This window comes from Homo sapiens, chromosome 5 (assembly GCF_000001405.40).
Source record: "Homo sapiens chromosome 5, GRCh38.p14 Primary Assembly".
Classification (NCBI taxonomy): domain Eukaryota; kingdom Metazoa; phylum Chordata; class Mammalia; order Primates; family Hominidae; genus Homo; species Homo sapiens.
This window is the reverse complement of record NC_000005.10, coordinates 122,886,018-122,907,894: the sequence shown is the minus strand read 5'-3', so window position 1 is coordinate 122,907,894 and position 21,877 is coordinate 122,886,018. Positions and strand designations below refer to the sequence as shown.

The 21,877-nt window shown below is 39.6% G+C and overlaps 1 protein-coding gene across 10 annotated transcripts in view; it reads right to left on the bottom strand.

Annotated features, from left to right (window-relative positions):
• The window catches only part of SNX24 (sorting nexin 24), a 183,706-nt gene that overhangs the window by 121,424 nt on the left and 40,405 nt on the right, over window positions 1–21,877 (bottom strand). For 6 of the 10 annotated variants that reach the window (XR_001742058.2, XM_017009395.2, XM_011543349.4 and 3 more), the window contains exon 2: window positions 16,770–16,868. The exons of the other annotated variants lie outside the window; for them this stretch is intronic. Coding sequence is in view for 5 of the 6 variants with exons in the window: in XM_017009395.2 (XP_016864884.1) it covers window positions 16,770–16,868 (99 nt within the window). In the remaining variant the exon portion in view is untranslated. The remainder of the gene's footprint in view (window positions 1–16,769; window positions 16,869–21,877) is intronic. 10 annotated transcript variants of the gene reach the window in all.

Below are 21,877 nucleotides of genomic sequence, written 5' to 3'. Positions count from 1 at the left end.
AAAATTACCATTCAGTGAGCTATAACTGCCCAGTTATACTTTTAAATTGAAATTTTATACCACGGTGTTAAGAAGTTTCAATAGATTTTTAATTCTTGTGCCATTATCAGGAAAATAAAAATTGATAACTTGAGATACAATTCAATTTTCCTTATAAACAGGAGAATTTAGGTGTTTCTAAGAACTAAGATACCAGATCAAGCCCCTCTGCATACAAATTGTTCCCTTCAGTTATAAAGATAACAATTTCAACTACTTCCCATTCATTGCCAGTGTAGATAAATGACCGCAAAGTATAAATTAGTACATGTCTGGAATAGAGATCATTAAGTCAGACAGACTCCTAATATTTTGCCATGTGACTTCTCAAACAGAAGAAAAGGAAAAGGCAGCAAATGGGACAGAATTACCAGCCCCGTGACTCCTAGGTGAAAGAATGCTAAAACTTTACCCTGAGGGCCGTCTGGCTTTTATCTCTACTCCTTAATTCCTCCCTTGAGGAGGGAGTGTTCCCCCATATTACAAATTCCCACACTACCTTCACAACTTGGCCCCATCTGCATCCTATCTGGACTTGATTTTTTTTAATAGACTTTTTACTTCAATATGATTTAAAGAAAACTTTACGTCACAAATAGATATGAGAAGCCAGTATCACTTGCTATAAATAGGTGAGTATAAAAATGAAATACTCATTTTAAAATTACATTTCTTGTTTAAGGTTTGGAGCCTGAAGTTACTCCTTCCTTAGAGAGATAAGCAAAGTAAAGCCAAGTTAAAGTTCTTGGAGAATTTTTTAGGGTGGTGGAGAAAATGACGTAGGATTAAAAGATAAGTGAAAAGGGAATAACGTTTTCCTTTTTGAGTCAATGTTATTCAATGTCTAGGCACCACTTAAATCATCTCCTGTGGCACTGGTGGCCTGTAGCCAAACCCAGAGAACACAAGCAGAGTAAGCTGCATGAGCAGGGGCTAGAGTCACGCTGCTGGGGCTCGAATCCTGCCCCTGTCACTTACTCTGTGGCCAACAAGTTACTTCACTTCTGTGTGCCTCACTGTCCTCTCAACTGTAAAAAGAAACACCATAGGCCAGGTGTGGTGGCTCATGCCTGTAATCCCAGCACTTTGGGAGTCCGAGGCGGGCGGATCACCTGAGGTCAGGGGTTCAAGACCAGCCTGGCCAACATGGTGAAACCCCATCTCTACTAAACATACAAAATTAACCAGGAATGGTGGTATGTGCCTGTAACCCTAGCTACTCAGGAGGCTGAGGCAGGAGAATCACTTGAACCTGGGAGGCGGAGGTTGCAGTGAGCCAAGATCGCACCGCTGCACTCTAGCCTGGGCAAAAAAGGGCAAAACTCCACTCAAAACAAAAGGAAATACCAACAGTACATAAACCCTAAAGAACTGCTCTGAGAAGTAAATGAGATTATGCATGTCAAGTTCAAAATACTTTCACTTCATACACTTTCTGTTCTAGGCCTACCTGGAAACAAAAAATTGATTCAAATCAGACCCACTATGCTGTACTCACAATTAATAAGGCACATGACAACTATTAAATACAATCTTGTAAGATGTTTGTACAATGACAGACAGGAGGGCAGCATGGTGGAACCCAGAGTGAGCCAGGTATGGGGTGCTAAGTGGAGAGATGACCACTGCCCTGGCTGTTCCCAGACAGCCCAGGTCTACTGCTGTTATCCCAGCACAAATCTCTATACTACCACCTTGTACTTTCAAAAACATTTCAGTTTGGATGCCAAGTTGTATGGTCACCCTAAGAATGCAGAGGAACACTTTACCTGCAGGTTCTGTGGTCTTAGAGCTCTCTGTATATACCTGAAGTGCTTGTGGTTGTTTTATTTGTATTTGTTGATATACACATCCTCCACCTGACTCTTAGCTGTTATTCTGTCTCCAGTGTCTATTTAAGACTTTACCACATAGTAGGTACTTAACTGTGGCTGAATGTTTAATCCTGAGACATCCACAACTCAATGGATTACTATAAACCTTGAAGGACTGAGTTCAACCAGGAAGGTAGTAAATGGTCAGGGTCAGGTAAAAATCATTTAAATTTGAGTTCCCAAGTAGTATCTCTAAATCTGCAACCTGTAATTATAAACCTACTCTTACAGATGGAAGTTATATCTGAGTTGGAAAGAGAGGAGGATCTTGAACTAGTGCTCAGGAAGTTTGGACAGATCTCCAATCAGGTGTTCCTAGGGTTATTACAGGCTGAATATCCTTTATCCAAATTGCTTGGGACCAGAAGTGCTGCAGATTTAGTATTTGTATTATACTTACTGGTTGAGCATCCGAAATTTGAAAATCTGAAATCCGAAATACTCCAGTGAACATTTCCTTTGAGCATCATGTTAGCACTCAAAAAGTTTTGAATTTGGGATGCTCAACCTGTATAAATTTTTTGGATGCAGTTAAGTAGTAAATTAGCCTGTATTTCCTAAGCCTCCTGAGTGAGTGGCTGAGGCAGGCCACCTGTGATCAATACAGTGAAGACCCAAAATCACAGCCTTCAGCTCAGGAGTGGTGGGACCTCTCAGGGTGCGCTGGCAGAATGAACCCAACTGTCAGATACTAATCGTCCCACATACCCCTTCCCTCCTCCCACCTCCCAATCTCCCACTTCACTCCACTCTCTACCCCTAGCTGATAACCTCAGGATGGAATCAGGATCCTTACCTACCCTCAACACCCCACCCACAAAACCTGTGAAGTCAAATATGCCTATTTAGTCTTGTTTCACATCTACACAGCTGGAGTGTGGGCTATAAAAACACAATACATTCTAACATACTTTCACTGAGGACATTAAGGACTTGAAGAACTTTTCTGAATGGACACATCTATGTTCTTACACACTTACTTAAAAAGTGTCCTGGGAAACAACACCCACACCAGGCCTGCTAGAAGCTGACTGTGTGTGGTGGCTCATGAGTGGGGAAATACGAGACGGCCGCTCCAAACAGGTCTGGAGCATCAGGCTGTCTTCCTTTCACATGGGTCTAAAGTGGTGGCATATTTTTTTCCCAGTTAAACTCCATGGAGTTTAAGTGAAAGCCAAAAGAACAATTAATCTCAGATTTATTATCAATGTGAAACGTTTAGCTTTCTTAGTTGACATGTTCCTTCGGTCACAGTTAACTTTAAGAGCATACTGAATAGAATAAGACATATTAAGCCGAATTATCTGATGATCATGTAAATTATTAATGAGTCTATAAAATACAGAAAAAGCTGTAACTGCAAGAAACATTTTTAAATACTGGGATCATGTAATTACAGATTTGTAGAAAAGGCTAGGCATTTAAAGAACTTAAAATAATTAAAAAATAATTTTTTTTAAAGACCAGATATAAACAAAGGAAAAAACAAAAGATAAAAAGGCCGGGAGTGGTGGCTCACACCTGTAATCCCAGCACTTTGGGAGGCAGAGGCCGGCGGATCACCTGAGGTCGGGAGTTTGAGACCAGCCTGGCCAACATGGAGAAACCCCGTCTCTACTAAAAATACAAAAATTAGCAGGGTGTGGCGGCACATGCCTGTAATCCCAGCTACTGGGGAGGCTGAGACAGGAGAATCCCTTGAACTCAGGGGGCAGAGGCCGTGGCGAGCCGAGATTGTGCCATTGCACTCCAGCCTGGGCAACAAGAGTGAAACTCCATCTCAAAAAAAAAGAAAACAAAAAAAAAAGACTAGGTATTCCACTGGGTAACTGCTTTACTTCAACAATCTATCATTCTCAAGCTTCTCTTGCTCTAGGGGCTAAAACGATGTTAAACTTAACCCACAGAACCCAAGAATTTATAAGAGCTGAAAAAAAATGTAAGGTCTCCTGTCCCTACTGTGCCATTTAACCGTAGGACCAATTAGACATAACATACATTTATGTTTTTAATATTAATATGCATTATATTTATGTATCTTTTAATGTAATTATTGAAACATATTGTGTACCTAGGAAGAGGCTTAGAACAAATCTGTAAATAGAGTATTTTAATTAGAAAGTAGTCCACCAATAAAAGGGCTTTGTTACATCATAAATGTAACAAAGCAGAAGCTTATCAAAAGTATAAAAATTTAAAAACATACCCTTCTCAAACAGATTCATGCAGTAATTATGCTTTAAATTACAGAAGCACAGAATAGATACACCACAGTAAACCAAAACTTAAGGTTAATTAGGAAACAAAACTCAACATTAAGCACATGGCCAAAAACTTCCCAGATTTTAAAACTCCATTCAACATGGGTCTTCATTCACGCAACAAAGATGAGCTGAGCAGTGTGCAGGTGCCCAGTCCACAGGAGATAATTAGATGCATAAAGCATGATTTGCAGGTCAGTCAGACTTCACAGACCAGCGGAGGGAAAGACCTGTTCACTGGCCAAAACACAGTGCAAAAGTTGGTATAGAAGAAACATAAACAGGGTACATTAAAAGTGCAGAGGAGGCGTGGCACTGTGGCTGGCTCAGGCCTGTAATCCTAACACCTTGAAAGGCTGAGGTGAGTGGATCACTTGAGCCCAGGAGTTCAAGACCAGCTTGGGCAACATGGAGAAACCCTGTCTCTATTTAAAAAAATACGAATATTAGCCAGATGTAGTGGCACATGCCTGTAGTCCCAGTGACTAGGGAGGCTGAGGTGGGAGGATCCTCTGAGCCTGGGGAGGTCAAGGCTGCAGTGAGCCACGATCGTGCCACTGCACTCCAGCCTGGGTGACAGACTAAGACGCTGTATCAAAAAAAAACAAACAAAAAAACGTACAAAGGAGAGTACAACCACCTCTGTCTGGGACATTTAGGCAATGATTCACAGAAATGCATGTTTCTGAGTGGGGTACTGAGTTCTCTGTATACAGGGTGAAAATGAGACTGAAGAGGCTGGGGACGTCTCAGGCCTAGGGAACAATAAGTAGCAAGATACAGATCCAGAATTGCAATGATATATTTGTGCAACAGTGGCAGACTAATATGAGTTGAAACTCAGTTGAGTCTGGGGGAAGACAGTCATCAAAAGGAGGGGAATTGAACTGGCTAAGAGAAGGTTAAAGAGGTAAGCTGGGACAAGACGGGGAAGGGGCTCTTTTTAACCATATGCATGATAAATACACCTGATAGCAATAACTTAAGCATGACAGGGTCACCCTGAGGATGACCCTGTATAGCAGACACACCTGAATGTGTGTACTGGGCTAGGGAATCCAGTACTGGCCAATAGGAAGATTCTGTTCCTTGTCTGTAAGGAACATCTGAGCCCCCATCCCCTCCCATAGAACATAAGTGTACAGAGAATCGAGGCCCTGAGTTTCATCTGGAATGAAGGTTGCCAGGTGGAGGTTGTTAGAGGGGAGGTGTTAAGTGGAAATGCTATATAAACTGCATGCTTTTTGCAAGTGGTTGTGGTTTTCCTGCCCAGCTCTCTGCCACTGGGCTGTGTGGTTATCTTCCCTGGTCCTCTTCCATTTCCCCTGTATGTAAACAATAAAACTCCATGTCTCCTTTGCTGGCTCTGCATCTCTTCTTCAGCCTCTTGAACCTGGTGCCATCCCAACTGGAGTTGAAAGGGGTTCAGCACTACACTACACCTACAAGTCTGACCTTCAGGCTATAGAGAGCCAAGAGGCAATAGAAATATTCAGAAAGGCAAACTCAGAAGAGGTATGGAGAGACACAGCAGGGTACAGCCTATGAGAAGAGTGAGTGGCACTGCCACCATGAGTACACAGGGAAGATGGGTGAACAAGGAGGAGTGTGAACAAGGGCCAGAGGCCACAGAGATTACTGGCAAAGAGCTGAATGCCCAGATGAAGGACAGACAATGACTGTTCTTATGTTTTAGGTTGGAAAACTGGGCAGATAGTGAAGCTCAGTCTTAGACTCAAAGATATATAAGACAAAAGAATATTGTTTGTTTATGGAAGAGAGAAAGATGGAACGGATATAATGCAATCAGTTTTGGGATATCCCAAAATTAGGATGTTCTACCACAGGATGTCCAGGGACAGACACCCATTAAGAAGCAAGTCAGAGCAGAATGATTCCAAATGGGCTGCTGTGGAGGAGGACCCTAGGACCAGGCATCTACCAGGCATCTCTGGTATTACCCCATGTCCAAGGTCAGGTAGAACATGTGTGTATGACACATCCAAGGGAGAGAATGGAGGGTCAAGATCCTGTAAGATCAATCTGTAAAGTCCAAGGGGCAATGACAGGAGACAAAAGTCAAGAGTGAGAGGCCAAGTAAACCTTCAATGGGAGCAGGCATATGGAACAAAGGGAGCAGAAAGGCAACAGTGTCCAGGACTTAGGCAATAAATGAGATGCCCAAATACCTCCTGCATACCAGCCCCGCTGGACCTGGCTGATCGTTCCTAAATTCCTAGAATATTTATTATATCTTTGTGTTTTGTCCCTAAACATACCCTAGTTTTCATTGTTGTTTAACTGCAATCTATTCACATAGCCTATAAATTCCAAGAAAGATACTGCATTTTATAAATCTTCTACATTCTCCTTATTGTCCCCCACAGTCAATGCATAAAGTAGAAACAAATAAATAATAAAAAGAAAACAAGCTATATTTCAAGAGATCCAAAACTTAGGTACAGTGCAATAGTTCTTCATCATAAATATGAGCAATATTTTGCTTTTTTTTTTTTTTTGAGATGGAGTTTTGCTCTTGTCACCCAGGCTGGAGTGCAATAGCACAATCTTGGCTCACTGCCACCTCCACCTTTCAGGTTCAAGCGATTCTACTACCTCAACCTCCTGAGTAGCTGGGATTACAGGCGTGCACCACCACACCCAGCTAATTTTTGTATTTTTAATAGAGACGGGGTTTCACCATGTTGGCCAGGCTGGTCTTGAATTCCTGACCTCAAGTGATCCACCTGCCTCGACCTCCCAAAGTGCTGGGATTACAGGCACGAGCCACCACACCTGGCCATATTTTGCCTTTCAAGACATATAAATCATTTTTCCCTCTGAAAAAGGAACATTACTTATAATGATAACTGAATAAATTATTGGCTCTTAGGTCTTTAAAAACATTTTATCCTTTCCCTGTTGTTTTATTTCTTTTTTCTTTCTTTTTTGAGACTGAAGTTTCACTCTGTCACCCAGGCTGGAGTGCAGTAGTGTGATCTCAGCTCACTGCAGGCTTGACCTCCCAGTCTGAAGCAATCCTCCCGCCTCAGCCTCCCAAGCAGCTGGGACTATAGGTGTGTGCCACCATACCTGGCTGATTTTTTATATTTTTTGTAGTGATGGGGTCTTACTACGTTGCCCAGGCTGGTCTCAAACTCCTAGCCTTAAGCAGATCCTCCTGTCTTGGCCTCCCAAAGCACTGGGATGACAGGTGTGAGCCATTCCACCAGGCCCTTAGTTATGTTTTCTATACCACACCATTTTTACATGGCCATATAGAATGAAAATTTGAATTTAATTTCCAATGCACAGACCTGCATGTTCTCTGTTCTTCATTTTTTTAAAAAAAACGTTTTAATAGTTCACATTTTAAAAATTGCTGCTACACACACTCTCAAAATTGTAACTATGTGAGGTGATAGATATGTTAATTCGCTTGATTGTGGTAATCATTTCACACTGTATATGTATTATCAAAAACATCACAGCCTGGGCAACACAGTGAGACCTCATCTCAAAAAAAAAAAGTAGCTGGGTGGGTGTGGTAGCACACACCTGTGGTCCCAGCTACTCAGGAGTCTGAGGCAGGAGTATCGCTTGAGCCTGAGAGTTCAAGGCAGCAGTGATCCCTGACCACGCCACTGCACTCCAGCCTGGGCAACAGAGCAAGACCCTGTCTCAAAAAACAAACAAAAAAAAACCCACACCATATTGCACATCTTAAATACACACAATATTTATTTGTCATTTATTCAGTAAAGCTGGAAAAAAGGGAGAGATCAAGATTTTTAAAATGGGTTCTACTAAAGTCCTTGGGTTTTCCACCTGTGAGTTAATCAGTCCTAATAAGAAAAACTTTCCCCAACTCTCCTTTAAGGGTTATCCCCACAAGAGCATACACTGCCTTGGGAGGTTAAGAGCTCACTGCATTCCTTCATCATTGTCAGATAAGCATCTAGCAAAGAGTCAAATTAAGTGCTGAAGGAACTTTTTACTATTCAACAGAGGGGGCCAGGCACAGTGCCTCGCGCCTGTAATTTCAGCACTTTGGGAGGCTGAGGCAGGCGTACTGCTTAAGCCCAGGATTTTGAGACCAGCCTGGGCAACATGGCAAAACCCCATCTCTACAAAAAATACAAAAATCAGCCAGGCATGGTGGTGTGTGCCTGTAGTCCCAGCTATTTGGGAGGCTAAGATGGGAGGACAGATGGAGCCTGCGAATTCGAGGATTCAGTGAGCTGTAATTGTGCCACTGCACTCTAACCTGGGCAACAGAAACTAACCTGTCTCAAAAAATAAATAAAAATAAAAATATTCAACAGAAGCATTACTGATAGACTGTATGTTGAACTAATTTTTTCTGGTGCAAATGGTATATTTCTATGGACTCCATAATAGCTGAAGACATGTTCACTCAAGCTACTGCTGCTACTACCTATGCCAACCCTCCCCTTAGAACATCTACTGCCAGAACCCTACCAACAGCAAGGGATTTACTAGTCTAGCTCCAAAGTCACCACGACTCGCAGCCAGGTGTATGTTGAAGACTATAGGAGTGAAAAGAGCAGAAGAGACTGTGTTCTTCAGGTGGGGCACAGATCTCACAGTGGAGGCTGTCAGGAGGTGGGGAAAGTTATTCCAGCAGGAATGGTAAACAGAAAGCTTCAAGCATCAAGGAAAAGAAGCTCTCAAAAATGGCCAGGACAGCCCACCACCAATAATGCATAAACACTGTAAGCCTCTAGACACCCTCCTGTGTGCACCCAAGGATGGGGACACTTTCAAGGTTCTCTGACTCCAGTTCCTAAACTCTGATTTGTGAAATGCCCCATCAACCACATTTGGCCTGCCGGCTTAGGAATAAGAAGCCATGTAGACCATTGATTCTCAATTCTGGCTGCATGTTAGTTACCTGCAGAATGCTTTGAAAATATTAATGCTCATGCCTTCAACTCAACCACATAGAAACTCTGGGTAGAAAACAGTATCAACAGAAGCATCTACCCATCATCAAGATTTAATGGATATTTTTCCATATTTATTTTGATTTCATTTTCTTTTTTTAAGAAACAAAATGTTATTGATTCAGCTAAAGCCCTACACTTAACCTATACAACAACACTTCTCCTTTCCCAGACCAAAGAACTCAAAGATGGAGAAAATCTGAGCTCTGCCTATACACAAACTCAGAGTGCTGCCATAGTGGCTGGAGCCCAGACCCTCTGACCCAAAGGCACATGGCTCACTGCACTGTCCCACACTGCCTGCAGGGCCTCAGATCTGGGAAAGGGTTTTTACTTTAAGCATTCTTAATTTTAAAAGTTATAAATGAAAAGGAATTTTGAGTAATCCCCAGTGCATTTTAATTGCTATCTGTATCATGTCTTGCAGACAATTTTCCCCTTGCCACCACATAGAACACATCTTCATTTTTATTACGTGTATCAGGGAAAATAGGGTTGAAGATGATTTAAGACTGACTCTGTAGGAGTGCATCTATGTCCTAAAGTTCCACACGGGCACACTCAGTCATCATGAATCTTCCTTAAGTCATTCTTCACAAAAGGAACATTCTTCTGAATGGAAAAACCACATGTAATTATTTCAGACAACAGATCACAATTCCAGCACCAACCCCGACACACATACATGCACACAAACAGTTTTCCAGAACATTGGTACAACCTAAATTTGTATTGCTCAACTGAAGAAAGCATTTTACAATACTGTTGATCTTAGTATCAAAGACCTGAAAATGAGTTAAGTGACCATCATGGTATTTTCCCCCAAGAAGCAACAGAAGACATAAAGTCAAATACTTTTACTTTTTTGAAGGGGTGAACAGGACAGGGAGCCCACAGAAAAAAGTCTCAGACATTTAAACAATTAAGTTCCACTAATATTACTGTAAACTTGAAACTGTAGGATTATACAAGATAGGAAACAGTTTCTTCTGTTACAGGAAAACTAAAAATTCTGAAGAGTAGCCTCATAAATGTATAGAGGACCTAAAAATACTGGTTAAAAAAGTCCTCAGCTGGCAAACGCGCATCTGTGTGCACACACACATATTCATTGCACGTTAATTTTTTTTTGTTTTTACAATATTCTTGTATTGTCACAAATAAGTATTTGGAGTGATAAAATCCCCACTCCATCCCCTGAAAAAGATTTCTGGCAGCATAGTTCTATCCTAGGAGAGTGACATATGTAAGTTCAAAATGATCCATTCTTTCCTTTAACATGTTAGTCTATATGCTGTCTTCTAATTCTTATGAATGCATCCAAAATAAGTATTTTCATATATACATAAGGGCTCATATAAGGTAGTAAGGTAGCAGAAATAGGGAGAGAAAAATTGATGTCATGTTTTCTTATGATAGCCTAAGAAAAAATTTAAAAATAAAAAAAAGAAGTGGTATAAACATTCTGGCTTACTGTTGGGAACTCTGTTTTAAAAAAAATTGCCATAATTTTGGAAATTCTTCTAATGACATCTTTGATTTCCATTTAATGTACACAGTGACACCTACTGGCATACTGATGAGGCAATGAAGACAAAATGTGAAAATTCATGCACAGGGAGAGGCCTCTGAAGTAGATACGTTTATATGTCTCCTGTGAAATGACACTTAAATATAATATTCTAAAACACTATATTGATTTAATACTAGAAAGAAGCAAGAGGAAAGCTCACATCTGCTTTTCAATTCTAAGTTACTGACACCGTGAGACTGACACACACACAAGGTTCAGAGGCTTGACTTCAGCGTTCAGTTCACATTTTCCAAAAGCCATAAGCATTTATGTTTGGTGGTTAGAGTTAAACCTCAGACCTTACTAAGATCAATGTTTGGCTGAAGGGAGTCACATAATGTGATAATTTTTAAAAATCACATAAACTAACAAGTAGTAGTTGGGAGGAGTTAGCTGCTTTATAAACAAGCTGTGGCCTATTATAAATAAGCTGTGGTCTATCACAGAAACAAGGCAAGACTTATAAGACTTTTTTTCCTGACCTAAGACTTTTTTTCCCGACAGTACATATGGTATTGTTGAATTTGGCCATGGAGAGAAATAAATTCAGGATGAAGCAGCTGCAAAAAATATGAGCAAGTGAGTAGAGCATCCATCAATCAACTGGTAACTATAGGTAATGTAACAATAGAAATAAAAGGGTCTGTGGCTTGACAGGACAGGAGGCTCCAGAGATGACAGGAATGGTGGCTGCCACCAAAGGCAACATGGTAGGACAGCATTCGCCAGCTGCAGCTAAGTCCAGCCAGACCAGAGAGAATGACATGAACATGTGCATGATAAATCCTGTCTGTTGGCAAAATTGAATTACCTTAAGAAGAGGATATGCAACTCACATGCCAAATCTGATCCACTACTGCTATGATTTCCAAGGTGGAGCCAACAGGAAAATATATGGGATCAATCATCAATGTCTGCCATAGGAATGGGGAAAGGGAATTACAACATGTGTGCCAAAGACCTGTGACCTCACCAACCTAAGATTAAAAACAAACAAACAAAACTCTGCTTCTATATGTTTGTTTGTTTGTTTGAGATGGAGCCTTGCTCTGTTGCCCAGGCTGGAGTGCAATGACTTGATCTCAGCTCACTGCAACCTCTGCCCCCCAGTTCAAGTGATTCTCCCACCTCAGCCTCTCGAGTAGCTGGGATCACAGGTGCATGCCACCACACCCAGATAATGTTTGTATTTTTAGTAGAGATGGGGTTTCACCATGTTGGCCAGGCTGGTCTTGAACTCCTGGCCTCAAGTGATTTGCCCACCTTGGCTGTCCAAAGTGCTGGGATTACAGGCATGAGCCACTGTGCCCGGCCTTGCTGCTATATTTCTGTATCATTTCTGTACTGCTGCATTTTTGTTTGTGTATTTAGTCTTTTCCTTTGTTTCCAAGTGAAATCTTTTGAAAACAGTCCTATTATGGCTCAAATAAGCAGAAATGGGGATTTTCTTAGGCTAGTTGAGGAACATGGTGAGGGTGGCAGGGACGACTGCTGACACAGGGCACGCTGGCCTGGAGAAGCAGCAGCTGCTGGCATGCGTGGACACACTTTGCAGACGTGTCCCCTGCGGGGGATGATAATTCATCACCCTCCAGCCCCCAGCCTAGGGGCCTCTCACACAACCCCATCCTTCCACCAGAAAAGAACACAGTGCCGATGTGCCTCTGCTTCCAATCACCAGGACCCAAGGTTGCCTACACCCTTGGTCCAAGATGTGGGATACAAAATGGTGTGGATTATCTCAGGGGGGCTGACTTCTAAATCTGAACAGCACTGAGCTTTCCACTGGTAAATTACTTTTTAACCCAGCTCTAATGTATTCCATTAGAGATGACATCATGTTAAAATAGAGACATGTTTTACCTAAAATTAATGAAAATGCATAAGTTAATCATGGAAAACCTAATGCTTACACCTATCCCCTAAGTTTATTTTTTCCTTTATACTTTTCCATCTTATAACTTTTCTATTATTAATACAAATATATATTAATTTTTTTAACCATGAATAGGCTGTGCAACCATGTATATTTTAAATGTGTAGGAGTGAACATTAAATATGAAGCTTTTTAAAAAGATTTACTGTTTTGGCTGAATAATACTAACAAGAAAAAGATTTCCCCAACCTATATTTTACCTTTAGAAAGTGCTCTGTTTAAAAAAAAAAAAAAAAGTACTGTTAAACTAAAATGAAGTGATTTACTGAAACTTAGCATTTGTAGCTCAATAAATTTATTAAGCATTTATTTACTGAGGAGTATTTAATTTAAAAGGTTTCTTTTTATTTTTACTTGGAAACTAGACTACAGCATAACAGTTACTTCCCATATATTTGTCTCACCCCACTTCTATGAGAATGTGCAGTCAACACTCAGAATTACTGGGAGCATCCAGATTATACTTACCTACTAGGTACTGCGCCACTTTTCTTCCTAGCCCTCTTCCTTCTAAAACCATCCCTTACCAGAAGCAGTAAGCACTTCAGGGGCAGAAAATATATCTTATTCTTCACCATATGACCTAGCAGTCCTAAGACAATGCCTTTTCTCTAGCAAATGCTCATTTAAAAAATTGGTAGAGAAAGCATTATTTATAAGAGAAAAACGCTGAAAAACAACCCCAATGCCTATCCAAAGGAGACTGACTGGATAAATGATGGTTCAGTCACACAAAGAAGTTCCATGGTGCCACTACCAATGAGGAGGATTCTTGTGAATTCATATGGAGTGATTTTTAGGATATACTGACCAAAAAAAATAATTGGGGAAAAAAAGATTATATATAATATGACATTATTTATGAAAGGAAAAAACAAGGGACATATATAACAAGAGATGGAGATATATTAGGGATAAAATAAGCGTGTGTGTATGTGTGTGCATGCACAAAAGAGAAACACAAGAAGTACAAACCAGAACCTAATAAAAATGATTACCTACAGACATGGGTGTAGAATGGAAGGGACCAAGACTTTTCCAAAAATATCTTTATATAGTTTTAAACCAAATAAATGTTCTATTTATTTATAAATTTACATTTAAATCAAGAGGTTTTGGAAAACCTCATAAAAAGAGCCTAACTGCATACTAAATTGATTACATAACAATACAGAACAAATAATTCAAGTTACTTTTTTTTTTTTTCGATTTGGAGTCTTGCTCTGTTGCACAGGCTGGAGTGCAATGGTATAATCTTGGCTCACAGCAACCGGGTTCAAGCGATTCTCCTGCCACAGCTTCCCAAGTAGCTGGGATTACAAAGCACCCATCACCAAGCCCAGCTAACTTTTTTGTATTTTTTAGTAGAGACAGGGTTTCAACATTTTTGGCCAGGCTGGTCTCGAACTCCTGAACTCAAGTGATCGCCCGCCTTGGCCTCGCAAAGTGCTGGGATTACAGGCGTGAGCCACTGCTCCTGGCTTCAAGTAACTTTTGAATGCAGAACTCTAACTGTACAAACCTAATGAAATATATTCTAAGACAAAATGTGCTGCATAAAAATCTTAAATTCTATTTAGTGAGTTTATTGTTAAAACAGTTTTGGGCTGAAATGCTAGAATTATTATGCATGAGGGAAAAAGAGATACAAAATGAAATGTCATAATTTAAAATATGTGTATATGCTCACACTTTACATATATAACTATGTGTATATATGTATATGTGTATGTATATATATACATATAAAATAAGCATATTTCTTAGTTGTATTTACTGAAAGAGTCTAAAAGCAATGATTAACCATAGCACACCTACCACGCAGATCTTGGTTTCTACATACCATTATCCAATAAAAGGAGGCAGGAGTCCTTGCAGAAATGTAGAATTGTGAAAGTACAAGGTGAACCTGCATATCTTATTGGACAAAACATAAGAAATGGTCATCAAAAAAAAAAATGGGGTCATGTCAAAAGGACACAAGAGCCGACTAGAAGGAGATCCCTTGTGACAAATTTGAAACAATTGGGCATTAAAAGAATGATGACAGTAATAGAAAACACTTTGAATTTTTTTTTTTTTTTAAGCCATGGGTCTATAGAAATACAAGAGAGTAAGGAGGAAAGAGAGAAGTTTCTCTTTGCAGAAGAATGCCAGCTAGTAAATTTAGAGGAAACGGGGCCGAGTGCAGCGGCTCATGCCTGTAATCCCAGCACTTTGGGAGGCCGAGGTGGGTGGATTACTTGAGGTCAGGAGTTCAAAACCAGCCTGGCAAACATGGTGAAACCCCATCTCTACTAAAAATACAAAAATTAGCTTGGCATGGTGGCACGTGCCTGTAATCCCAGCTACTAGGGAGACTGAGGCACAATAGCTTGAACCTGGGAGGCAGAGCTTGCAGTGAGCCGAGATCGAGCCACTGCATTCCAGCCTGGGTGACAGAGTGAGACTCCATCTCAGAAAAAAATAAAAATTAATTAATTAATTAATTAATAATAAAGGAAATGGGCTGGGCACGGTGGCTCACGCCTGTAATCCCAGCACTTTGGGAGGCCGAGGCAGACAGATCACTTGAGGCCAGGAGTTCAAGAGCAGCCTGGCCAACACGGTGAAACCCAGTCTTTTAAAAATACAAAAATTAACGGGGCATGGTGGTGGGCGCCTGTAGTCCCAGCTACTCGGGAGGCTAAGGAACAAGAATTGCTTGAACTTGGGAGGCAGAAGTTGCAGTAAGCCAGGATCACGCCACTGCACTCCAAAGCGAGACTCTGTCTCAATAAAAAAAAGTAAATAAATAAAATAAAAAATAAATAAATTTATTTAAAGGAAATGACAGGTAGAAAATGCAGCATTTTGCAACTATCAATGTAATACCTTATTCAGGCAAAGATCATTACTCTAGTTAACCACTGGGTCAAAAGGGTAAAATGTAATTTGGGAGTGAAAGTAAGATAACAACTAACTTTCTGAGGCTTCAACTAAAAAATATAAATAAAATGTGTGCACAGTGCATGTGTGTGTGTTATGTGTGTGGGTGTGGGTGTGTGTAGAGAAAGAGAGAGACTAAGGGAGAGAAAAAGAATATAAAACAAACAGCAAAAGGTTAACTGGTGAATCTGAATGAATATAAGATGTCCTTATACTGTGCTTTCAATATTCCTTTAGGTTTAAATTTTAATTTCTCAAAATTAATCATTGGTGGAAAAAACAAAAGAAATAAGTCTGCTGCATGGACTTCCCCATTTGTGAAGGTCCTCACGATGTTATAAATTCATGCCTTTGACCCTACACTCCCATATTCTTACCCTTACCATTCCTATTTCAATGAGAGAAGCAAACTTTTGGTCACTCAACAGTCTCCAACTTACACACATTTTATTCTCACATGTTTGCTCACAAGTCAATAACTAACATTCACAACACATTTCTTCACAGAAACATTAATTTTCCTGGCCAGCCCAAAAAGTCTATTCAAAGAATAATACAGCCGAACATAACAAGGGTTTGAAAAAGGTAAGTCTCTACATAAGTAAATCAGACCAGAGTCAATGTAATTTTTAATAAATCTGGAAGATCCAGTAATACTTCTCCAGAATCATGAGAGGCCTTCTTTGGGAGTATGTATTACTGCTTAAAGAGCAGGAAGTGTGGAAAGAAACAACTGAAAACTATGTGAGGTAATATGTAAGACTTATAATACTTATAAAAAATTGCAATTTACTTTAAAAAATGAATACATCATCACTGAAAAAAATTCAATAAAAGAAAATAAAACTCCCCCATTTTACCTCAATAAAACAGCATTTTCCCTAGATAACCATGATTACTTCAAGTGTATGTGCCAATAAAAATAAAACTGATATGGCATTTTTCCCACAAATAGTCTCATACTGTACATATCATTTGGTAACTTGCTTTTTTAATTTAACACTTAGCTTTAAAGAATTCTTAAAATTACCTGCCAATCGGTATTTTTAAAATAGAATACATTGATATTAGAATAAATAGGCACTTTAAAGTCAACATTCCTAAACCATTTCAACCAGAAAAATAAACTACTTAGGAAAAAAAACAAAAAACAAAAAAACACTAGGTAAAGTTTTCTACAGTCAAAAATACCTGATATGTAAGTCTTCCATTTGAAAAAGCAATTTCCAGAACAATAACTTCATATGATTCCATTTTTGTCTGGAAGGCTCTATGCCAAACTATTACCACCTGAGAGGTAAGACAGAAAAGAGGCTTTGGGTTTTCACTTCATACTCTTATATACTATTTAAATTTTACTTTAAAATCCTTGCAGAAAAATCTTGAAGGGATAAAAATTTTAATTAACAATTCCTGTTTCTGAAAAGGTACAAAAAAGGATTACAGTTAACGTTATTGCTCAACTACAGCTCATTTCCTGAAAGATATATTGGGTACTTCATTGTCAAGATAGGGCTATAAATTCATGCTTTAAAAGTTCCCTCTAGGCCGGGTGCGGTGGCTCATACTTGTACTTCCAGCCCTTTGGGAGGCTGAGACGGGCAGATCACTTGAGGTCAGAAGTTCGAGACCAGCCTGGCCAACAGGGTGAAACACTGTCTCTACTAAAAATACAAAAAATTAGACGGGTGTGGTGGCGGGCGCCTGTAATTCCAGCTACTTGGGAGTCAAAGGTGGAAGAATCGCTTGAACCTAGGAGGCGGAGGTTGTAGTGAGCTGAGATAGCACCACTGCATTCCAGCCTGGGCCACAGAGTGAGATTCCGTGTCAAAAAAAAAAAAAAAATCCCCTCTAAATGGAAATCTTTTCCTTACAGAGAAGGAATGATGGAGGTAGATAATCATCATTTTGCCAACAAGAGAGTAAAAACTTAGGCAAAAAACAATTAATGTCTGCTGAACCAGGACAGAAACATTTGATGAGGAACAGAATCCTTATATAATCTCAAAATGTCTTCCCAAGTGTTAGTTAATAATTATAAAAGGAAAAAAAACCATCATAGACAACAGAGAAAACATCAAAACCTAACCAGTGGTCAAAATTAGCATTATTAGTCGGGGGCAGACAGATACCATGTGCCTCTGAATGTGATACCCCAAGAAGGTTTTCCAGCCCCAAATGCGTCACCTAAATCTACCTACTATAAGGAACCATCAGACGAAGCCAAATTGAAGGACAGTCTATGGCCTGTCTCAACTGGCCTGTCTCTTTACAAAAATGACAATGCCATAGAGGACAAAGAAGGGCTGAGAGGCAGTTCCAGATTGAAGGAGACTAAAAAGACATGGCAAGTAAATATAATGTACTATTTGGATCTTGTACCAGCAAAAAAAAAAAAAATACTAACAAGGACATTATTGGGACAACTGACAAATTTGTAATACAGACTACAAAATACTGTTTCAATATTAAACTTCCTGATTTGACAATTTTACCGTGATTATGTTAAGAGATTTTTTGTCCTTAGGAATAATGAAAAAATGAAGGGAGAAGAGGTATAATGTATATATATACACATATATATATATACACATACATATATATATACATATATATACACATACATATACATATATATACACATATATATATACACATATATATACATATGTATGTGTATATATATATATGTGTATATATATATGTGTGTATATATATATACACATACACGGATTGAGTATCCCTTATCCGAAATGCCTGAGACAAAAAGGGTTTTAGTCTTTTTCCATTTTGGAATATCTGCATTATATGTATTGGTTGAGTATCCCTAATCTGAAAATCTGAAATCTGAAATGTTTCAATGAGCGTTTCCTTTGAGCCTCATGTTGGTACACAAAAAAGTTTTGAATTTTGGAGCACTTCAGATTTCAGATTTTCGAATGAGGGGTACTCAGCCTGTATACATCTATACAGATAGATAGATGAGTGTATATAGATATAGATATAGATACCTATAAAAAACAGAGAAGGGCAGGGGGAAATAATAAAGCAAAAGTGGAAAGATGTTAAAAATTGAGGAATGCTGAGAATTCTTTGTATTAGTTTTGCAACTTTCTGGTACACTTAAAATTATTTCAAAATAAAGTTATTTAAAAAGTTGTCCTGGCCAGGCACGGTAGCTCAATGCGTGTTATCCAGAACTTTGGGAGGCCAAGGCGGGCAGATCAATTGAGATCAGGAGTTCGAGACTAGCTGGGCCAACATGGCAAAACCCCATCTCTACCAAAAATACAAAAATTAGCCAGGCATGGTGATGCACGCCTGTAAATCCCAGCTACTCATGAGGCTGAGGCAGGAGAATTGCTTGAACCTGGGAGGCAGAGGCTGCAGTGAGCTGAGATCACGCCACTGCACTCCATTCTTGGCGACAGAGTGAGATTCTGTCTCAAAAAAACACAAAGTTATCCCATTACATCTATAACTTACAGAATTCCAAGACCAGAAGCAGGCAGAGGGGGCTGATAGTTCATTTCCTGTGGTGTAATGGGAATCAAAAGTCCATTTCTAGGGAATAGTGTTAGGGGAGCCAGGATCACCCACTGCTTGAAATGGGGATTCTTATGGCCACTTAGAGTTGTGGCTTAAATAAAGCTGCATATCGGAGGCAGCAGAAAGTAAGTAGCTGATGGAGCCAAGAAACCAGATATTGAGCAAAAATCCTGTTGGGTCATTCTGGATCTGCAATATTCTGAATATATTTGTCAGAATTTATGAAGTGCTTATTATGATCCAGATACTCTTCTGAGCAATAACTTATTGAAATCATCAAAATAACAGTTTTAGATACTATCATTATCCTCATTTGATAGGTGAGGAACTGAGGCACAGAAATGTTAAATAATATGCCCAAGACAACACACAAGTAACCAATAGCGCCAAGACTTGAACTCAGGCTGTCAGGTTTCAGAGCCTTCACTCTTAACTGTGCTATACTCTCTCCCTCCCTAACGGATAGGAACCTGGCCTGAACTAGGGACCAGGAGGATGCAACAAAACAGTGTGGAGGGAAGGTAGACTCACATTCCAAGTAAGCCTGCAGATTAAAATTATAAACCATAGAAGAACAGTCAACAAATAATCAAAAAAATGCAAATAATAGAACTGAAAAATGTAAAGAACACTTAATCTGCTCAAAAGGATAAGGAAAGGAAAAACACCCATTAGAATAGGATAAATCAAAAGCAAGTCAAATGAAACATATATAGGTAGACATGAAAAGAAACCAAATAAAAATCCTATATATTTATACAATATAGGCCGAGTGCGGTGGCTCACGCCTGTAATCCCAGCACTTTGGGAGGCTGAGGCCAGTGGATCACCTGAGGTCAGGAATTCGGACCAGCCTGACCAACATGGTGAAAACTCATCTTTACTGAAAATATAAAAATTAACTGGGCATGGTAACAGGTGCTTGTAATCCCAGATACTCCAGAGGCTGAAGCAGGAGAATCACTTGAATCCGGGAGGCAGAGGTTGCAGTGAGCCAAGATCACGCCATTGCACTCCAGCCTGGGCAACAAGAGCGAAACTCCATCTCAAAGAAAAAATACAGTGACTGAAATCAAGAACTCTGGTTCAGTTAAACAACCAATTAGACAAAGCTGAAGAGAAAACTGGTGAAGTGGAAGAGGAATCTTATAAAATTACCCAGAACATAGCAAGAGAGATAAGGGCATAAAAAATATGAAATCGAGTAATGAAAAGGCATAAAGGCTAGATTGAGAAGACTCTACATACATCTAAAAGTAGTTCTAAGAGCTGACAATTTCCCAGAATTCAATAAAGACCCGAGTCCTCAGATTTAAAAAGCACAGAGAATGGTGAAAAGGCTAAATAAAAATAGACTCTCTCCTGAATATACTGCTGCTGAAAATGCAGAACAGTAAAGATAGAGAAAAGTCTTTAAACTATTAGAGAGAAAATCAGATTACTCACAGATAAACGACAATTAGGCTGACAGCAGACTTCTTACCAGCAACAACAGATGCCAAAAATAATCAAGTAATATATTCAAAGTGTTGATAAAAGATGACTGTCAACTCAGACTTGTGAATGGAGCTAAACTCTCCACCCAGAGTATAGGTACAGTTAGGATAACTGTCTAACTTACTGACTTATCTACTTATTTTTATTTATTTTATTAATGATTATCACCCAGAGATCCTTGTTTCAATTAATAAACTATACTTTAGCAAATAAAATGTAAGCCCAGAGGGAAACAATGGGATGCAGGAAAAAACAGTAAGTACGGATATGAATAAATTATTTGTTAAAATAACTTTTTTTAAATTAAAAAAGCTGAACAAAAATTCTAGACATCCCCTATAAAAACAAAAGTGGGATGAGGGAGAACAGTAACTAAGGTGTGCTAAGGTTCTTGCCTTACTCAGGAGAAATATAAAAATAATGAATAATTTTTTTTTTTTTGAGTCAGAGTCTCGCTCTGTTGGCCAGGCTGGAGTGCAATGGCGTGATCTTGGCTCACTGCAACCTCCGCCTCCCGGGTTCAAGCAATTCTCCTGCCTCAGCCTCCTGAGTAGCTGGGATTACAGGCGCCTGCCACCACGCCTGGCTAATTTTTGTATTTTTAGTAGAGATGGGGTTTCACCATATTGGCCAGGCTGGTCTCTTGGCCAGGCTGGTCTCGAACTCCTGACCTCGTGATTCCCTGACCTAGGCCTCCCAAAGTGCTGGGATTACAGGCATGAGCCACTGCGCCCGGCCCGAATAATTTTAAATGTTATTAGAAACATATACAACAAATAATAAAAGTTACAATTTTTGTATTAAATATTCAAAAATGTATCGCTTCCAGAGTGGCTGGCAAGATACATGGAAAAGACAGATAAAGAACTATCCACCTAATAGAAGAGAGGAGAGAGAGAGACAGGAATTAAGTTTGATAAACAGAAAACACAAATTAAGATGACAGAAATGTACCAGTAATCAAATAGACAACTTTATTAAAATTCACATTCTCTTCTATAAAGTATTCCATAGGTATTTGCAAAGCAATTACTAAAAATGAATGTTTTCCCACTGTCAAGAATCAATTGTATGTCTTTAGTCTTCCACCTTAATTCATGTCTGAAGTGTCATCACGAAGCTGTAGCATCTCCTTGCACTCCCCCTCACCTACCACTAAACTCCTGGCACTTTGGAGTACAACCACTTGCTCTGAACCCTGTCCCTGTCCTCTAGCACAGGGGCCCTCAACCCCTGGGCCGCGGGGAAACGGT